Source organism: Homo sapiens, chromosome 11 (genome assembly GCF_000001405.40).
Source record: "Homo sapiens chromosome 11, GRCh38.p14 Primary Assembly".
Classification (NCBI taxonomy): Eukaryota; Metazoa; Chordata; class Mammalia; order Primates; family Hominidae; genus Homo; species Homo sapiens.
This window is the reverse complement of record NC_000011.10, coordinates 75,267,079-75,282,677: the sequence shown is the minus strand read 5'-3', so window position 1 is coordinate 75,282,677 and position 15,599 is coordinate 75,267,079. Positions and strand designations below refer to the sequence as shown.

General features: G+C 52.8%; 1 protein-coding gene across 9 annotated transcripts in view, besides 3 other annotated features; it reads left to right on the top strand.

The window, feature by feature from the left end:
- Window positions 1-15,599, top strand: part of ARRB1 (arrestin beta 1) — a 91,540-nt gene that overhangs the window by 68,984 nt on the left and 6,957 nt on the right. For 3 of the 9 annotated variants that reach the window (XM_017017752.3, XM_017017750.1, XM_017017753.1), the window contains 11 exons: window positions 657-716; window positions 1,536-1,603; window positions 3,934-4,069; window positions 5,230-5,314; window positions 5,767-5,839; window positions 8,467-8,604; window positions 9,700-9,783; window positions 10,954-10,977; window positions 13,719-13,789; window positions 14,975-15,026; window positions 15,459-15,530. In XM_017017752.3, the coding sequence (XP_016873241.1) occupies window positions 657-716; window positions 1,536-1,603; window positions 3,934-4,069; window positions 5,230-5,314; window positions 5,767-5,839; window positions 8,467-8,604; window positions 9,700-9,783; window positions 10,954-10,977; window positions 13,719-13,789; window positions 14,975-15,026; window positions 15,459-15,530 (863 nt within the window). The remainder of the gene's footprint in view (window positions 1-656; window positions 717-1,535; window positions 1,604-3,933; window positions 4,070-5,229; window positions 5,315-5,766; window positions 5,840-8,466; window positions 8,605-9,699; window positions 9,784-10,953; window positions 10,978-13,718; window positions 13,790-14,974; window positions 15,027-15,458; window positions 15,531-15,599) is intronic. The other 6 variants (XM_017017754.3, XM_017017751.1, NM_004041.5 and 3 more) reach the window with 3 other exon arrangements.
- Window positions 1,842-2,717: an enhancer, noted in NCBI's record as "H3K4me1 hESC enhancer chr11:74991005-74991880 (GRCh37/hg19 assembly coordinates)". NCBI's record gives its function as "activates a minimal SCP1, AML or CMV promoter by ChIP-STARR-seq in primed H9 embryonic stem cells {active_cell/tissue: H9 hESC(primed)}" and the evidence as "EXISTENCE:reporter gene assay evidence [ECO:0000049][PMID:30033119]".
- Window positions 4,300-4,800: an enhancer, noted in NCBI's record as "H3K4me1 hESC enhancer chr11:74988922-74989422 (GRCh37/hg19 assembly coordinates)". NCBI's record gives its function as "activates a minimal SCP1, AML or CMV promoter by ChIP-STARR-seq in primed H9 embryonic stem cells {active_cell/tissue: H9 hESC(primed)}" and the evidence as "EXISTENCE:reporter gene assay evidence [ECO:0000049][PMID:30033119]".
- Window positions 9,618-10,119: an enhancer, noted in NCBI's record as "H3K4me1 hESC enhancer chr11:74983603-74984104 (GRCh37/hg19 assembly coordinates)". NCBI's record gives its function as "activates a minimal SCP1, AML or CMV promoter by ChIP-STARR-seq in primed H9 embryonic stem cells {active_cell/tissue: H9 hESC(primed)}" and the evidence as "EXISTENCE:reporter gene assay evidence [ECO:0000049][PMID:30033119]".

Here is a 15,599-nt window from a genome sequence, read left to right as displayed (position 1 = left end):
ACACAGATGTATGAGCTTACAGCTCTGGAGGTCAGAAGTCCCAAAACAGGTCTCAGTGGGCTACCATGGAGGCGTGGCAGGGCTGGCTCCTCTGGAGGCCCTCGGGGAGCGTCCACCTTTTCCAGCATTGCTTTCCTTGGCTCACAGTGCCTTCCTCCATTGTCAAAGCCAGCAGTGGCCGTTGAGTCTTTTGTACATCCCATCACTGTGGCTCAGACATTTCTGCCCCCTGCTTCCACTTCTAAGGACTCTTGTGATTATACTAGGCCCACCAAAATCATCCAGGATACGGTCCCCATCTCAAGGCCTTAATTGGATCTGCAAAGTCACTTTTGTCATTAAGGTCCCAGGTTTGGGCGATTAGGGTGTGGACATCTTTGGGGAACATTATTCTGCCAACCACAGTAGACATCATAGAAAGATCTATTTAAACCATTGCTGCGAGGACTGGGCTGGGCCAAACCCTTTAGATAAAGAAAGCTCTTTATCTAAAGAGTTTTAGATGGGGCATGGCTTGGCATGGTCTGATGGGATAGACATGGCCTGTCCCCTGGGGCCCTTGGTCTGATGGGTGTATGGGAGTGTCTGGGCTGCAATACATGAGACAGGACAGTGGTGGATGTGACAGGTGGCTCGTTCTGTCCTCTTCTTGACAGATCCCTCCAAACCTTCCATGTTCTGTGACACTGCAGCCGGGGCCCGAAGACACGGGGAAGGTAGGTCACCCCAAGGGGACCATCTCTCTGGCTCCAGGAGTCTCATGTCCCCAGGTCCCTGGCTTTCTCCCTGGGAGGTGCTGGACACACAGGACCACTCTCCCTGTTGAACAGTCTTTGTGTCTAGGCTAAGCTGGTCCCACCTTGGACAACCAGTCTCTCTTCAGACAGGGCAGCAGGTACGGGGTCAGCCTCACTCTCCCATTCAGTGATGGGTCTGGAGGCTCTCCTGGGTGGCGTTGGCTGCAACAGGACCAAAGTGTTCTGAGGACCTACACCTGGCCTCATGTAACCCCTGGCAACCTGGAATCAAAGTGCGATCATCCCCATTTCACAGATGGGGAAACTGAGGGTTGGAGAGAAGTGACACCACTAGCTCCAGAGCTTTGAGCCCAGCTTCCTCATCTGCAAGATGGAGATAACAGCACGTGCCTCCTTGTCTTGTTAGAGGAATACCGGATAAGCCACCCAGGGCCGGGTGTGCACACAGTAGTAGGCGCCCCCAGTCTGCTCAGGTGCCTGTTGCTATTTCTGGGCAGCTGCCTGGATGAGGACGGCCACCCAGACTGAGGCAGGAATCCAAAGAGCAGAGCCCCGTTTGGGTGGTTCGAGATGTCCCATGTCAGATGGAGGAGGCAGCACAGCATTGGGGCTGAGCACAAGGGCGTTCCCCCGCTTCTTCCAGACCAAGGAAGGCTGGGCTGTGGGAGCTTGGTGTTCCTGTCCAGTGTCCTCGTTTGTAAAATGAGAGGTGGGCTGGCTGTGTACTGGGGACCCTGCTTCTCCAAGGCCCTGTGGTCAGTGACCCCTTCCCCACAGGCTTGCGGTGTGGACTATGAAGTCAAAGCCTTCTGCGCGGAGAATTTGGAGGAGAAGATCCACAAGCGGTGAGTAGGATGCCAGGGTGTGGGCCGCCTGCTGGGTGAGGGAGGGAGACAGGATGGGCAAAGTCCAAGAGGAGATAAGTAACAATACCTGGAAGTGTGTGAGGAGGGGCGCACATTCCAGCCTTGGAAGGGCACTCTGGAAGCTGGGAGGTCACGGAGGGCTTCCTTGGGGAGGTGGCTTCGACTGCCTGGGTTCAGGCTGCAGCATCTTCTCCTTTGCACCATTGTGGCAGCTTCCTCCCTCATCTCCCTGCCTCTCATTTCATCCCCTCCAGACTGCATGTCTTTTTAATTTGTTTTGGAAAAACCCTAAATTCAGATTGTGTTAAACAGTGAGCAGGCTGTTTCCTGACCATTCTCATTTTCCAGTTTTCCTCCTGGGAGGCGTTCAGCAGGAGTGGAGTGTGTGTCAATGGCAGCTTCTAAGTGAGGAGGAAGTGGAGATAGTGAACCCATCCAGGGGAGAGTGACAGGGAGGTCGGCCCACATCTAAGAGATGGGAAGCGTTCTCTGGAGAAGAACAGCCCGGGCAGACAGAGAGCCCAGGCTGGCAGCCAGAAACAGCTGGCCCGGATGTCTCATGCCTGCCCCTCCTGGGTCGGGCTGTGCTCTGTCTGCCTCCTGGAATAGCTGGTGGGCCCTCGACGCTGATGTGCCTGCATCCAGAGGCACTGGTCCCAGAGGAGGTTGGCTGAGGGCACAGCAGCCTTTTTAGGGCGTGGGCTGAGTTTGCCACCTGGTGGCTATAGGGTGTATTGCATGCATTTGCATCTGCAGCCCTGGCAGCTGTGTGTGAGGAGATGGGACTTTTCTCCCTTGCTTCTCTGTCTCCCTTTTCCTCTTAAGACCTGAGACCAGGGAAGAGGAAGGGTGCTGTGGGATGTGGGAGGAGGCTTGGTAAGCACAAGAAAGAGGAGGTGACATCGAGAGCCACCCCTCTCACCCTACCACCAATGGGACATTTAAAATCCACACCAAGGAGTTACTAATAATAATGATATAGAAGCTATCATTTATCAAGGGCTGATTAGGTGCCAGACACCATTTACAGTGCTGGGCTGTATGAACTAATTTAATCCTCACAGCAGCTCTAAGAAGTACGTCCTTGCTGGGCGTGGTGGCTCACACCTGTAATCCCAGAGCTCTGGAAGGCCGAAGGCAGGCATATTACTTGAGGCCAGGAGTTCCAGACCAGCCTGGCCAACATGGTGAAACCCCATCTCTATTGAAAATACAAAAATTAGGCAGGTGTGGTGGCATATGCCTGTAACCCCAGCTACTCAGAAGGCCGAGGCAGGAGAATTGCTTGAAGCTGGGAGGCAGAGGTTGTAGTGAGCTGAGATTGCGCCACTGCACTCCAGCCTGGGCAACAGAGTGAGACTCCATCTCAAAATAAATAAATTAATAAAAATTTAAAAAGGAGAAAAAGAGGTAGGTCCTTCTGTCATCACCCTTTACAGATTAGGGAACAGAGGCAGAGAGAGGTTAATGTACCCAGGGCCACATAGTTAGTAAGAGGAGAGCTGGGAGTTTGACCCTGGCTCCCTGGTTACAGGCAATGGAGGCAGCTTATCTGAGCAACGGAGATGCCGGCATTCCCAGCATGCCACAGAGACGGCCTCACCAAGTCCCCCTCCCTCACCAGATCCTCATTTGCTCCCTGATCCCCTGTAATCTTCATGGAGCCAGTCTCATCCATGGGCCTTCTCCCCTCCCTGGGCTTGTCCCCTTCACTGGCTTGCATCCCCCTGACTGAATCCACGCCTCCTCCCTGAACCCCAACGCCTCCCCAAGCCCCATTTCTTCTTGAGACCGCTGTCCCCTCTGCATAGTTTTACATAATAGATATCTGGCAGTTGTTTATTATATGGCAGGCACAGTCATAGGTGCTGAGAGTACAGCTGTGAACACCTTAGACACAAATTTCTGTCCTTAAAGAACTTACACAAATAGTGTCCTATGTCACCAAAATAGATGACAGAGGGACACTATTTGTGTATGGTGACATAGGGAGTCAGGAAGTGACAATGTTACCTATTTGGTGACATAGGGAAGCAGGAGGTGAAAAATGTAGTCCCTGTTTCAGCATCCTGCTGGGTACCAGGACCAAATGAAGTGCAGCCACAGGGCACTTCTGGGACAGAACAGGGGAGGATGGAATGGAGCCAGATGGTGACAGACCCCTATGCTGATCTCTGCAGTTTGGCTGGATTCTAAGGTGATGGAGAGCCATGCCAGTCTCTTGAGCAGGAGAATGATGTGAGGCTCGCAAGGAGAGGGGATGAAGGCAGGTGACCCTGGTCCTCTTTCACTCCGCCCATCTCCATTAGGAATTCTGTGCGTCTGGTCATCCGGAAGGTTCAGTATGCCCCAGAGAGGCCTGGCCCCCAGCCCACAGCCGAGACCACCAGGCAGTTCCTCATGTCGGACAAGCCCTTGCACCTAGAAGCCTCTCTGGATAAGGAGGTAGGAGGCTCGGACTTGGCAGGGGGTGGGGGCTGCTCCACCAGGGCCTGGGCCTCAGATCCCAGCTCTCTCCTGGCCTGCAAGGATGCCTCAGGTAGGAGCTTCTATCCCCAGCCCAAGGACCACAGGGGTCAGGGAATCTGAGACCTCTCATGGGGGATTTGGAGAAGCCTCTTGGGCCTAAAGGAGTGGCAAAGGGGGCATGAACTTGAGAGATGTGATGGACTTCCGAAGTGAGGAGCAGACCTTCCTGAAGGTCCTGGACATCTCCCCCACACCTCCACCAGCTGCCTGCCTCAGGCCGAGTGCTGAAGGTCAACCAGCATTGCAGAGGGGGCACGGTGGGGGGCCGTGACCTTCCTGCCAAACACTGAGCGTCAGGGCGACAAGCCCTGCAGAAGGAAGGGCCTCCCCTCAAACTCTGAATCAAACCCAGCTGACTGCTGTGAGCTTAGGCTGGCCCCTCCTCAAGGTGTGGGCACCCCCTCTCTCTCGGGGCATGGCTGAAGGGAAGTGCCTTGGGGCAAGATGCAAGTTGAGGTCTTTTTGTAGGGATTCAGAGCTGGCTCCCTCAGTGAGCTGGTGAGCCCATCCTCACCTTTCCCTGCTTCTTCCAGATCCTTCTGTGGACAGAATTTAGAGCTGGCAGGGACTTCAGACATCACCTAGTCCAACCCCTTCGTTGCACAGAGGGAGACCCTGAGGCTTAGATAACCTACCCACGGTCACACTGCTTTCATCATCGTCAATGTTATTGTTGTTATTGTTGTCACAATTACTGCTGGCCAAGCCAGGGCTGGAGCCCAGGACTATCACCTTCCAATTCCGTTATCTTTCAAGGGTCCCACCAGGGAACTGAAGGCTAATGTGCTTGGTGGCTTTCATGCCACCTTAGCAGCAGTGGGAAGTGGCTGATGAACTTGGGGCAAATGTCACAATGCCTTGGGGGATTCGGAGAAGCCTCTTGGGCCTAAAGGAGTGGCAGAGGGGGCATGAACCTGAGGGATGTGATGGACTTCAGATGGGAGCAGCAGACCCTTCTGAAGGTCTGCGCAAGGTCTGGGGAACCCCAGAAGATCGCGTGGGGGCTTTTCTCCCTCCCCTTTCCCTAGAACCTTGCTGTCCTCCCAGCCAACCCCGTCCCTTCTTATGCCCCCCAGATCTATTACCATGGAGAACCCATCAGCGTCAACGTCCACGTCACCAACAACACCAACAAGACGGTGAAGAAGATCAAGATCTCAGGTATCCCAGACAGAGGGTCAGCTTAGGGGACAGCGAGAGGCAATCTTCCCAAGGGCTGGGGGTGGCTGAAGTATCTCCCCTTGTTAACAGCCTTGTATAAAAAATAGCCACTGAAGCCCAGGGCCTGCTCTGAGCCACAGGGCAAAGCTTTTGAGTTGGGTAAGGCAGGCTGCTTATTGGCTAGGTAATGAGTTTGCTCTTTAAGCCACCTCTTCAGTTTCTTGGGTTCTGGACAAAGCTGTCCTTGAGGGGAAGGCTTTGGTTATGGAAGGAAATGGGTGTGTTTGGGGCTACCCTTTGGATGTAAGACAGGGGTGGTCTTATGCAGAAGTCCCCACTGGTGGCCTCTGGCCATTGCCTGGGGCTGAATATCCCCAACCCGGGGACGCCTGTGAGACTCCATGGGAGCTACATTCCCGACTCACTCCACCTTGATTCCTCTCCCTCCCTAGTGCGCCAGTATGCAGACATCTGCCTTTTCAACACAGCTCAGTACAAGTGCCCTGTTGCCATGGAAGAGGCTGAGTAAGTGGGCACAAGTCTGGCCTTGGGCGTATGGGATTGGGTGGGAAAAAGAGAAGCTCTAGGTGTCCTGTTACAGGTCCAGGTGGCTCTTCTCCACCTGGCAGAGGGCTGGGCCTCAGACTTCCTTGCCACTCAGAGTAGATGATCCCGAAGAGCCTTTTAGAAACCATCCACCTGATTTAGCTTCAAGAAAATGCATGCTACAGTCAAGGAAGAGACCCACTAAAACTAGAGTGACAAAACAATAGCTAATGAATGTAAGGGGATTGGGGTTGTGAGAAGAAATAATTACGTTGTACAAGAAACCTAGGTTGAAGGGAAATACTTTGTTCTTGGCTTCCTGGTAGCCAGGGCAAAGTGGGTAAGGCACTAGGTACACAGCTCTTGTCTGATAAAGGGGTAATCCAACTCATTGGGAAAAAGGGGTTGTGTGTGGGAGTGCAGAGAATAATTACACACAAAAAAATCATCTAGGTTTGAGGAGAACTGCTATGGTTGAGCATGGATCGAACTTTGTCCCAGGCTTGTTGGCAGCTAAGGCAAGTGGAGAGATCTGAAGTGAAACATCTTTACTTACCTAAAGGAAGTAAATGCTCCCATTCAAAGACATACACATTTTTTTTTCCTGGCCCTGCAAGTAATTTCTTGGGGCAATTATACCTGATATAATTTTACATGTATATGTGTATTTGTTTATGTATAATTCCAATCAGTATTTCTTGCAACTGAAAATATTTTTAAAATGTTACTACATGGCCTTTGAAATAGTTTTTAATGTCCTATAGGTGAACATGCTATGATTAGATCAAGCTTTCTCTGGTTACTGGATATTTTTCATATCCACTGTTGATTTTTTCAAAAAAATCAGAGCTATGAGGCATAGATTCCTGATGGTAAAGTGAAGTGATCTAGAACCAGAGTAACATATAATCCCTAAAGAGTAGAAAATCCCAACCACTGCAGATGGTGCCAGCGTCTGCATAACGAATACCAGCAGGGATGGCTGGGGAGGCATTTGCACTCACAGACTTGTTTACTTCTCAGGAAGCGCTGTGGGGCTGGGGTTGCTGCTGCCCCAGTATGTAGAGGAGGAAGTGGCTCAGAGAGATGTGACTTGCAAGTTAGCAAGCAGCAAAGCTGGGGCTGGAACACGGTCGTCCGACTCCAAGGCTTGTTCACTATCTGCTGCATGACAGCTCTCTCATTGGAAAGGATGGGGGATAGAGCAAAAGCAAGTAAAAATTGGACAATCAAAACACCCTATATATGATGGATGTGATCAAGCAAGTAAAGTTTTAATTGTTGAGCCTAGATGGTGGGTATATGGGTGCCCAAATAGCTTCATTTATGGTTTATGTGTAGCTATAATTTTTTCTTTTTAAAATGTGTTTAGAGACAGGGCTGGTGCTCACGCCTATAATCCCAGCACTTGGGGAGGCTGAGGCAGGCAGATCACTTGAGGTCAGGAGTTTGAGACCATCCTGGCCAACATGGCAAAACCTCATCTCTACTAAAAATACAAAAATTAGTCGGGCATGGTGGCGCGCCCCTGTGATCCCAGCTACTTGGGAGGCTGAGGTAGGAGAACTGCTTCAACCTGGGAGGTGGAGGTTCCAGTGAGCCAGGATCGCACTACTGTACTCTAGCCTGGGCGACAGAGCAAGACTCTGTCTCAAAAAAATAAAATAAAATAAAATAAAATAAAATAAAATAAATTTAAATTAAATTTGTTTAGAGACAGAGTTTCACTCTGTTGCCCAGGCTGGAGTGCAGTGGTATGATCATGGCTCACTACAGCCAGCCTCGAACTCCTGGGCTCAAGTGATCCTCCTGCCTCAGCCTCCCAAGTAGCTAGGACTACAGGTGTGCACCACCATATCAGGCTAATGTTTAAAATTTTTTGTAGCGATGGGGTCTTGCTATGTTGCCCAGGCTGGTCTCAAACTCCTAGCCTCAAGCAATCCTCCTGTCAGCCTCTCAAGTTGCTGGGATTACAGGCATGAGCAACTGTGCCTGCTGTGGCTGTACTTTTTTTTTTTTTTTTTTTGAGATGGAGTCTTGCTCTGTCACCCAGGCTGGAGTGCAGTGGAGCAATCTCGGCTCACTGTAAGCTCCACCTCCCAGGTTCATGCCATTCTCCTGGCTCAGCCTCCTGAGTAGCTGGAACTACAGGCGTCCACCACCATGCCCGGCTAATTTTTTTGTATTTTTAGTAGAGACGGGGTTTCACCTTGTTAGCCAGGATGGTCTCCAACTCCTGACCTCGTGATCTACCCGCCTCGGCCTCCCAAAATGCTGGGATTACAGGCGTGAGCCACTGCACCCGGCTGGCTGTAATTCTTTAAATAAATGTGCTTTTTAGCACTGTGCTGCTTGACTAGGATAATCTTTTAGAATATCCGAGATTCAGTCCTGTTTGTGCGTAGAATGTAGATGTGCCTCTTTTGAGTGGCAGTGGTCTCCTTGCCCGAGCTGGGCTGGCCCAAGTGGTCCGTGTGTCTGGGGGACAGAGGTTGGGAGAGGGAGACTTGGAGCAGGCTCAGACTAGATATTCTGCTGGGCTGGAGATCAGGGCTGGGGTTGGCTCTGGGGAGGGCCATCTCCACAGCTGCTTCCTTTCTTCCCAGTGACACTGTGGCACCCAGCTCGACGTTCTGCAAGGTCTACACACTGACCCCCTTCCTAGCCAATAACCGAGAGAAGCGGGGCCTCGCCTTGGACGGGAAGCTCAAGCACGAAGACACGAACTTGGCCTCTAGCACCCTGTGAGGACCTGCCCTCCTAGCCCTGGGCTCCTAGTGCATCTTGCCTGATGGGGCCACACCCTCCTTGGTCCCCCCAGTTCAAAGACAAGGCTCAGGCTACCCTCTCCATAGCCTTGTCAGGGCCTGTCCTCAGGTGCTTGACTTGTCAGGGAAGCTGCCTCCTTACTCCCAACCCTACCCAGGGGTGACTGAGAGAATAAGATGGACCACTAGGCCAGCTCACTCAGGCAGTGCTGGGCTCTGCTACCATGCCTGGGGGAGGGCAACCTGGGAAGGCTTCCTGCAAGAGGTGGCAGCTTCTGACGTAATGCCTTCAGTCAGATGGGGTGTCCCTGAGGAGAGACCAGGGTGGTGAGCTGGGTTAGACCCAACATGGGGTGCCCCTCCAAGTCAGGGGTCCCAGGGCATCTGGTCACTCCTGCTGCACAGTCATCGTGGACGCCTCTAGGCTACTCTGCTCCAGCAGAGCCCTGGCTATGGGGATGCCATCTTGCCCTCTTGCCAGTGTGGTCCTTCAGTGGGGCTTTGGCCTACGTCTAGAGCAGCCGCCACTCCCAGCACAGACTCAGCTCTCTTCAGCAGCCCCTGCACAGCCTCCCACTTACCTGAAGCTTTTTGCCCTGTCTCCACCCTGGCTCACACCCTACCCATCTTCAAGACCCAGCTGAAGCACCACCTCTGCGGAGAAGTCCTTCTCTGATGGCCCCCACCCCACCCCACCCCAGCTGCCTCGCCCTCTGTGAACTCCCCGTGTGGCCCTTTCTGCCCATGGGTTGCTGAGAGAAGCAGAATCCATCTGAGGGGAGGAGGAGCCTGGCCCTCATGGCGGGGACGCTGGCCTGGGCAGGGAGAGGGGCTCAGCAGGGCCACACAGTGAGCGAGTCTCACAGTCAGACTTGGAACCGGGGCTCTGGGTCCCTGCTACCTAAGGGCACTGCTCGCCTTCCTCATCTCCACTGGGCTCTATTGGACATGGTAGCTGAGTGGCTAGCCAGATGGGGGATGGACGGCCACTGCCCCCCAGCATACCCACCCCTGAGGTGTCTCGCCCACCTGGCAAGGCCCCTGAACTGGCTCCCCTGTGTCACTTTGCAGGTTGAGGGAAGGTGCCAACCGTGAGATCCTGGGGATCATTGTTTCCTACAAAGTGAAAGTGAAGCTGGTGGTGTCTCGGGGCGGGTGAGTGCTCCAGCCAAGCCCAAGACCCCGGAGTGCAGAGGGGAGCGTCCCAGGTGCCCACAGGCCCCTGCCCCATTCTGCCTGTTTGCAGCCCTTTTAGCTGCATCCACCTTGGAGGAGGAACCTCCTGTCCCTTCTTTTCCTCCCTTCTGTTCCTCTTTCTCCCCCGCCCGCTTTCCCTCTCTTCCTTCCTTGGCCCTCAGCCCCTCTCTTACCCCCACCCATCTCTTTCTCTCTCTCCTCCTCCTCTATCCTAGGTCTGGGCTCGCACTGAGGATTGGCCATGCCCAGGGGACGGCGTCCTCAGAGTCTTTGCTGTGGGGTCCCCAGGGGTGCCATCTCCTTATCACACTTTGGGCATAGCACCCACCCCCATGCATGCCCAAGCTGATTTTCTGAGGAAACAGCTAAAAGGGCTCAGAACCCAGAGCTGGATTGGGGATTTGCTAGTCAGCTTTCCCATTTTACAGATGGTGAAACAGAGGCCCAGACAGTGCCCCAAACATTGCCTGAAATCTCCTCTCCTAACTCAGGTCATAGTGGTGGACCAGACTGCCCTGCCCTGGAGCATAGTTTGGTGGAAGCTCAGGGAGAAAAACAAACAAACAAACTACTGTGTTTCTTTTTTGTAACTTAATTCATAAATTTCTATGAAAAGATTGAAAAGCTAAATCCCATTAGACATTGGGTCTCCTTGATTATTAGAAGAATGCCTCTTGGCAGGTGGCAGTATGTAATCCTGACCTTATATAATAGGACATCTCAAAATTACAAATCCCAAATCCTGTGTCTGGTGACCTTTCAGGACCCACAGTCCCTCAAACATTCTTGGCAACCCCGGAGTCCTTCCCTCTGCCTTTAGATAGTCCGGCCTCCCTTGGGACAGGCAGCACTGGGGTTAATTTTTACACTGCCTTGACAGATGAGGATCCTGGGGCTCAGGGGTTTGCTGAGCTGGGTCTGGATCCCAGTCCCTCGGGGCAGGGCTAATGCCATTTCGGTGTATCCCTGAAAGAGCAGTCAGGGCTGTGCAGGGGGGTGGGTGGGAGTGTGTCCCGTGGGTCTTCTCTATCCGGGGGACAGCAGAAGTGGTGAATGAATGTGCTTTTTGTTTTCTTCCTCTCTGAACTCTCTCCTGACCACTTCTCCTGCCTCCTCTGACCCACCCAGCCTGTTGGGAGATCTTGCATCCAGGTAAATTCCTCCCTTCCACCTGGTTCACCCACCTTCCTGGAGGGCCTGGAGCCCATTGGCTTGACTGACCAGAATCACAGGGCACTGGGTTGGAAGGAATCTTAGTGGTCATTTCAGATAGCCAGGTTCAGGTGTGAGCTGGGAGACACAATTTCTCCTTAACAAACCTCACCTTGCTCTTCCATCCCACCTGAGTGACAGGGATCTTTACAGAGAGCAAAGCCTGATTACACTGATACAGGGAGTGGCCCCCAAGAGAGCTGTCTGAATTACTGATCACCTGAATTATAGGAGCTTTTGGAGAAATGCAGACTTCATGGCTTTCAAACTTCTACACTAGTGAGGAGGGAACTGCTGGCCAAGTGTTGCTAAGGAGAGGTCCTCAGGAGATCCTATTTTGTAAACAAGGTCTCCTTGCAGCCAGCTGGATGCACTTATATTCCAAAAATGCATGTACCCCAAACACAGCAGTTTGGCCTCCTTCTGTCACAAGATGGCAGTGTGGCTCATCCTAAGAAATCTTAAACTAATTTGACAGGTGAAATTCATTCAATTCAATTCAGTTCCATATCATTCAGCAAAGATTTCCTCAACCCAGGCTTGCGTCCAGGCTGGTGCTGAGTGCCAGAGTCCCAGAGAGGAATCAGATGTGGTCCCTGACCTTATCGTTCCTGGCCCGGTAGAAGGTTAAGATCCAGATTCTTCCACTAAAATGTTGGCAAACCCAGTCTTCCACCAGCTCCATTCTGAAGCAATCCCCAAAGCAAAAGGAAAAAAAAAAGAGAAGGAAAAAAAGGCCAAATAGCTCTGACAGCCTTATAAAACCCCCAGGTTCCCAATGAGGGGACTTAAGTAACGATTCTGGCAGGCACAAGCTTCACATTTTTATTTTTATTTTTTATTCTGAGACAAGGTCTGATTCTATTGCCCAGACTGGAGTGCAGTGGCACAAACTTGGTTCACTGTAACCTTCTCTGCCTCCTGGGTGGAAGCCATCCTCCCAACTCAGCCTCCTGAGTAGCTGGGACTACAGGTGTGCTCTACTATGCCCAGCTAATTTTTTTTTTTTTTTTTGAGACAGAATCTCACTCTGTCGGGTAGGCTGGAGTGCAGTGGCACGATCTTGGCTCACTGCAACCTCTGCCTCCCAGGTTCAAGCAGTTCTCTGCCTCAGCCTCCCAAGTAGCTGGGATTATAGGCACCCGCCACCACACCCGGCTAATTTTTGTATTTTTAGTAGAGGCAGGATTTCACTATCTTGGCCAGGCTGGTCTTAAACTCCTGACCTCATGATCCACCCGCCTCGGCCTCCCAAAGTGCTGGGATTACAGGCGTGAGCCACCGCGCCCAGCCTAATTTTTGTATTTTTAGTAGAGATGGGTGGTGGTGGCAGTGTCTCACCAGGTTGCCCAGGCTGGTCTCGAACTCCTGAGCTCAAGGGATCTGCCCGCCTTGGCCTCCCAAAGTGCTAGGATCACAGGCGTGAGCCACTGCGCCTGGTCAAGCTTCACAGTTTAACTCAGCTCTTTAGCTGCCTCATCTCCCAGAAGTTCCCGTGGTTCTAGAAGACAGGCTTTGTTCCAAGTTGAGCTCAGTGAGACTCAAAGCTAGAAAGTGCTGCACCAGCGGGTGGCGAGGCTGGTGGAACAGACCTTTCTAATTGCACGGCTTGTGCCTCTGACCACTCCATTCCCTGTCCCTTCCTCTTTCCCAACTGGGCTCTGGACAACAAGATCAGTGGGATGTGGCTTGTGCCTGTAGGCACTCGCAGTTGGGTGGTCTCCTAGGGTGATGTCACCCCAAGCCGAGAGGAGCCTTCAGGGTTGCTTTTGTTAGTCTCAATTCTGCTACTGTCACACAGTGATCAAGGGTGTGGTTATGGAGCCAGAATCTAATAATAACCATTAATAGCTGTGTGGCCTTGGGCAAGATATTTTAATCTCCTCATGCCTCAATGTCCCAGTCTGTACATTGGGGATAATAATATGGTTGTTGCGAGGATTAAATGAGTTACTCTATGGAAGGGGCTTACAGTAATCCTTGGCACAGGGTCAGTACCATGTGAATACCTTCTCTTATTCTGTCCATCAGGGCCAAGTACAGAGAAAGCCCCATCAGAAGCACTGGCTGGTGGCTGGGTCTTCCCGGCCGCTTTCCCCTGCATCCCCACAGTGTAATCAGCCTTGGGCCCTGGGGCCATCCTAAACCTGACTAAACTGACCTCAACAGTGCTTCATCCAGATTGCAGGGGTGCTAGGGTCACCTGAGCACTTTTACAAGAGCACCCTGGAGGTGTTGGGAGATGGGATGGCGTGAGGGTGGGAGGAGCTCCGACCTGGAAGTTGGGAAGGGCAGTGTCAGGGGAGGCGAGGGTGGCTGTGGCGATTTGAGGTGGGGGGGGGTCCCAGGGCACCTCTGGAGCCCCGCAGTGACCACGGTGCATGCTGCCCCGGGCAATCCTTTCCCACCCCTGGGCCTCTTCCCAGCCCGTGGGAACCCAGAGAGCCTTCTCAGGAAAGAGGAGGCTTCCATTTCTTTTTGGGACCAGAGGAAGTCTCCTCGTCCAGCTCCCAGGCAGACCGAGGCTCCGAGTGGCAGAACTGGGGCTGGAGGGCATCTTTTGGATCTACCTCCTCTGACGGCAAAACCCTCTGCAGTCCTCGGACTGACAGGGCATCGACATCAAGTCTCACAGCCTGTGAGTCCGCTCAAGGCTCACTGGGTCTGGGTCTCTGTTTCAGCGACGTGGCCGTGGAACTGCCCTTCACCCTAATGCACCCCAAGCCCAAAGAGGAACCCCCGCATCGGGAAGGTGAGCAGAATCTGTAGGTCTCTGGGGTAGGGGTTCTCTAGCAGCTGCCACGTGACCCTGTAACCCACCCCGCCCCGGGTTCGCCCTCAGCCCAGTCACCCTTTTCTCGGGTCCCCAGATCTTTTGTGGGGTCCAGAACTCGATTTGCTTCTGACCCCACCAGGAGACAGTGAGGCGTGGCTCCTGTTCCCCATGGGAGAGGGAGGCCAGGAGTGGAGAAGGGAACTCATTGGCCATGCTTTGAGCCTCTATCTTGCACCCAGGCATGGGCTGGATCCCGTTTGGAAGTAGGGGAAGGGGCTGCTTGGATAAGATGACCGTTGGACACGCTATTGTCATGTTTTTCTTCTTCTTTTTTTTTTTTTTTTTTTTTTTTTTGGTTTTGAGACACAGTCTCACTCTGTTGCCCAGGCTGGAGTGCAGTGACGTGATCTTAGCTCACTGCAACCTCCGCCTCCCAGGCTCAAGAGATTCTCCTGCCTCAGCCTCCCGAGTAGCTGAGATTACAGGCGGCTGCCGCCACACCTGGCTGATTTTTGTATTTTTAGTAGAGACGGGGTTTCACCATGTTGGCCAGGCTGGTCTCAAACTCCTGACCTCAGGTGATCTTCCCGCCTCAACCTCCCAAAGTGCTGGGATTACAGGCATGAGCTACCATGCCTGGCCTGGCCTGTTTTTCAAGTGATAGCAGATTGGTCATATTTCATTGAATCTGAGACTTTCAGTGGAGAGAGACAACATAATAGTAGGTACAATTAGGAAAAAACTTCCATGGTTAAACTGTGCAGTGCCATCGACGGTAAGACACACTCCAAATTTGGAGATGTTAAAATGTGAAGGAAAATATAAAAAAGATTGTCTTAGAATTGGTGAATGGCATGCATGCAAGGAATTAATGTAATTCATGTTGGAGACCTGTCAAAAGAAACAGAAGTTTAGAGGATTTTCTGTTCTTCTGGGGCTGCAGTGGGGATCCGGGGCCCTCCTGGTGCCATCCTCCCTGCCTTTCAGATGATTTGGGGTGTTTCAGTACCAGGAATGAGTCCTCCCCCATCTCCATTCCCCTTTATCCTTTGCCCTTCTCATGTTAGTCTGGTTGTCCCAGGGTGGGGGCCTGTGCTTACTCGCCCCGTGCTCATCCACTCACTAATCCCTGGACACCCTGCCCACCCACCCTGTGTTTAGTTCCAGAGAACGAGACGCCAGTAGATACCAATCTCATAGAACTTGACACAAAGTAAGCTGAACCCTGCCTGCAGACATCCGGGGGTGGGCCGCGGGTGGGCGGGGTGGAGGGGGTCATTTGCATATATGCTTATTAACTCCTGAGGAGCCGCTGGTCTAACCCCGTCTGCTGAGAGCCACCTCTGCTCGCCTCTTCAGCAACCCGCTTGCCTGCATGTGACTTGAAGGACCCTCCGTGCCTGTTCCTCTTCCTCCTGCCTTGGTGGGGTCTGTCTTCCTCCCTCGTCCTTGCACGTCCGTCCGTCAGTCCGTTCGTCCATCCACAGCGCCTGCTCGGCTCACACAGGGCTGGTCCATGGCCCTGGGCTCGGCTCTCCTGTCCTGCCCACGCCAACCAGTGGAATCAGGCTGTGGGGTGGGCAGGGGACTGGGGATCTTGTTGCTTCTGACTCCTGAGGACCAACCGATGTGGATTTCCCTGCAGTCAAAGGCCATCGAGTCACCGGACAGTGGCCAGAGGGGGAGGACCTGGGCCGACTGCGCGGACCGCCTCCAGGTCCAAGTGGCTTTCTTGCTCCAGCTCCAAAGCCAATCTTCCCTTGTCCCCCAGGAGAAATCTGGGGTG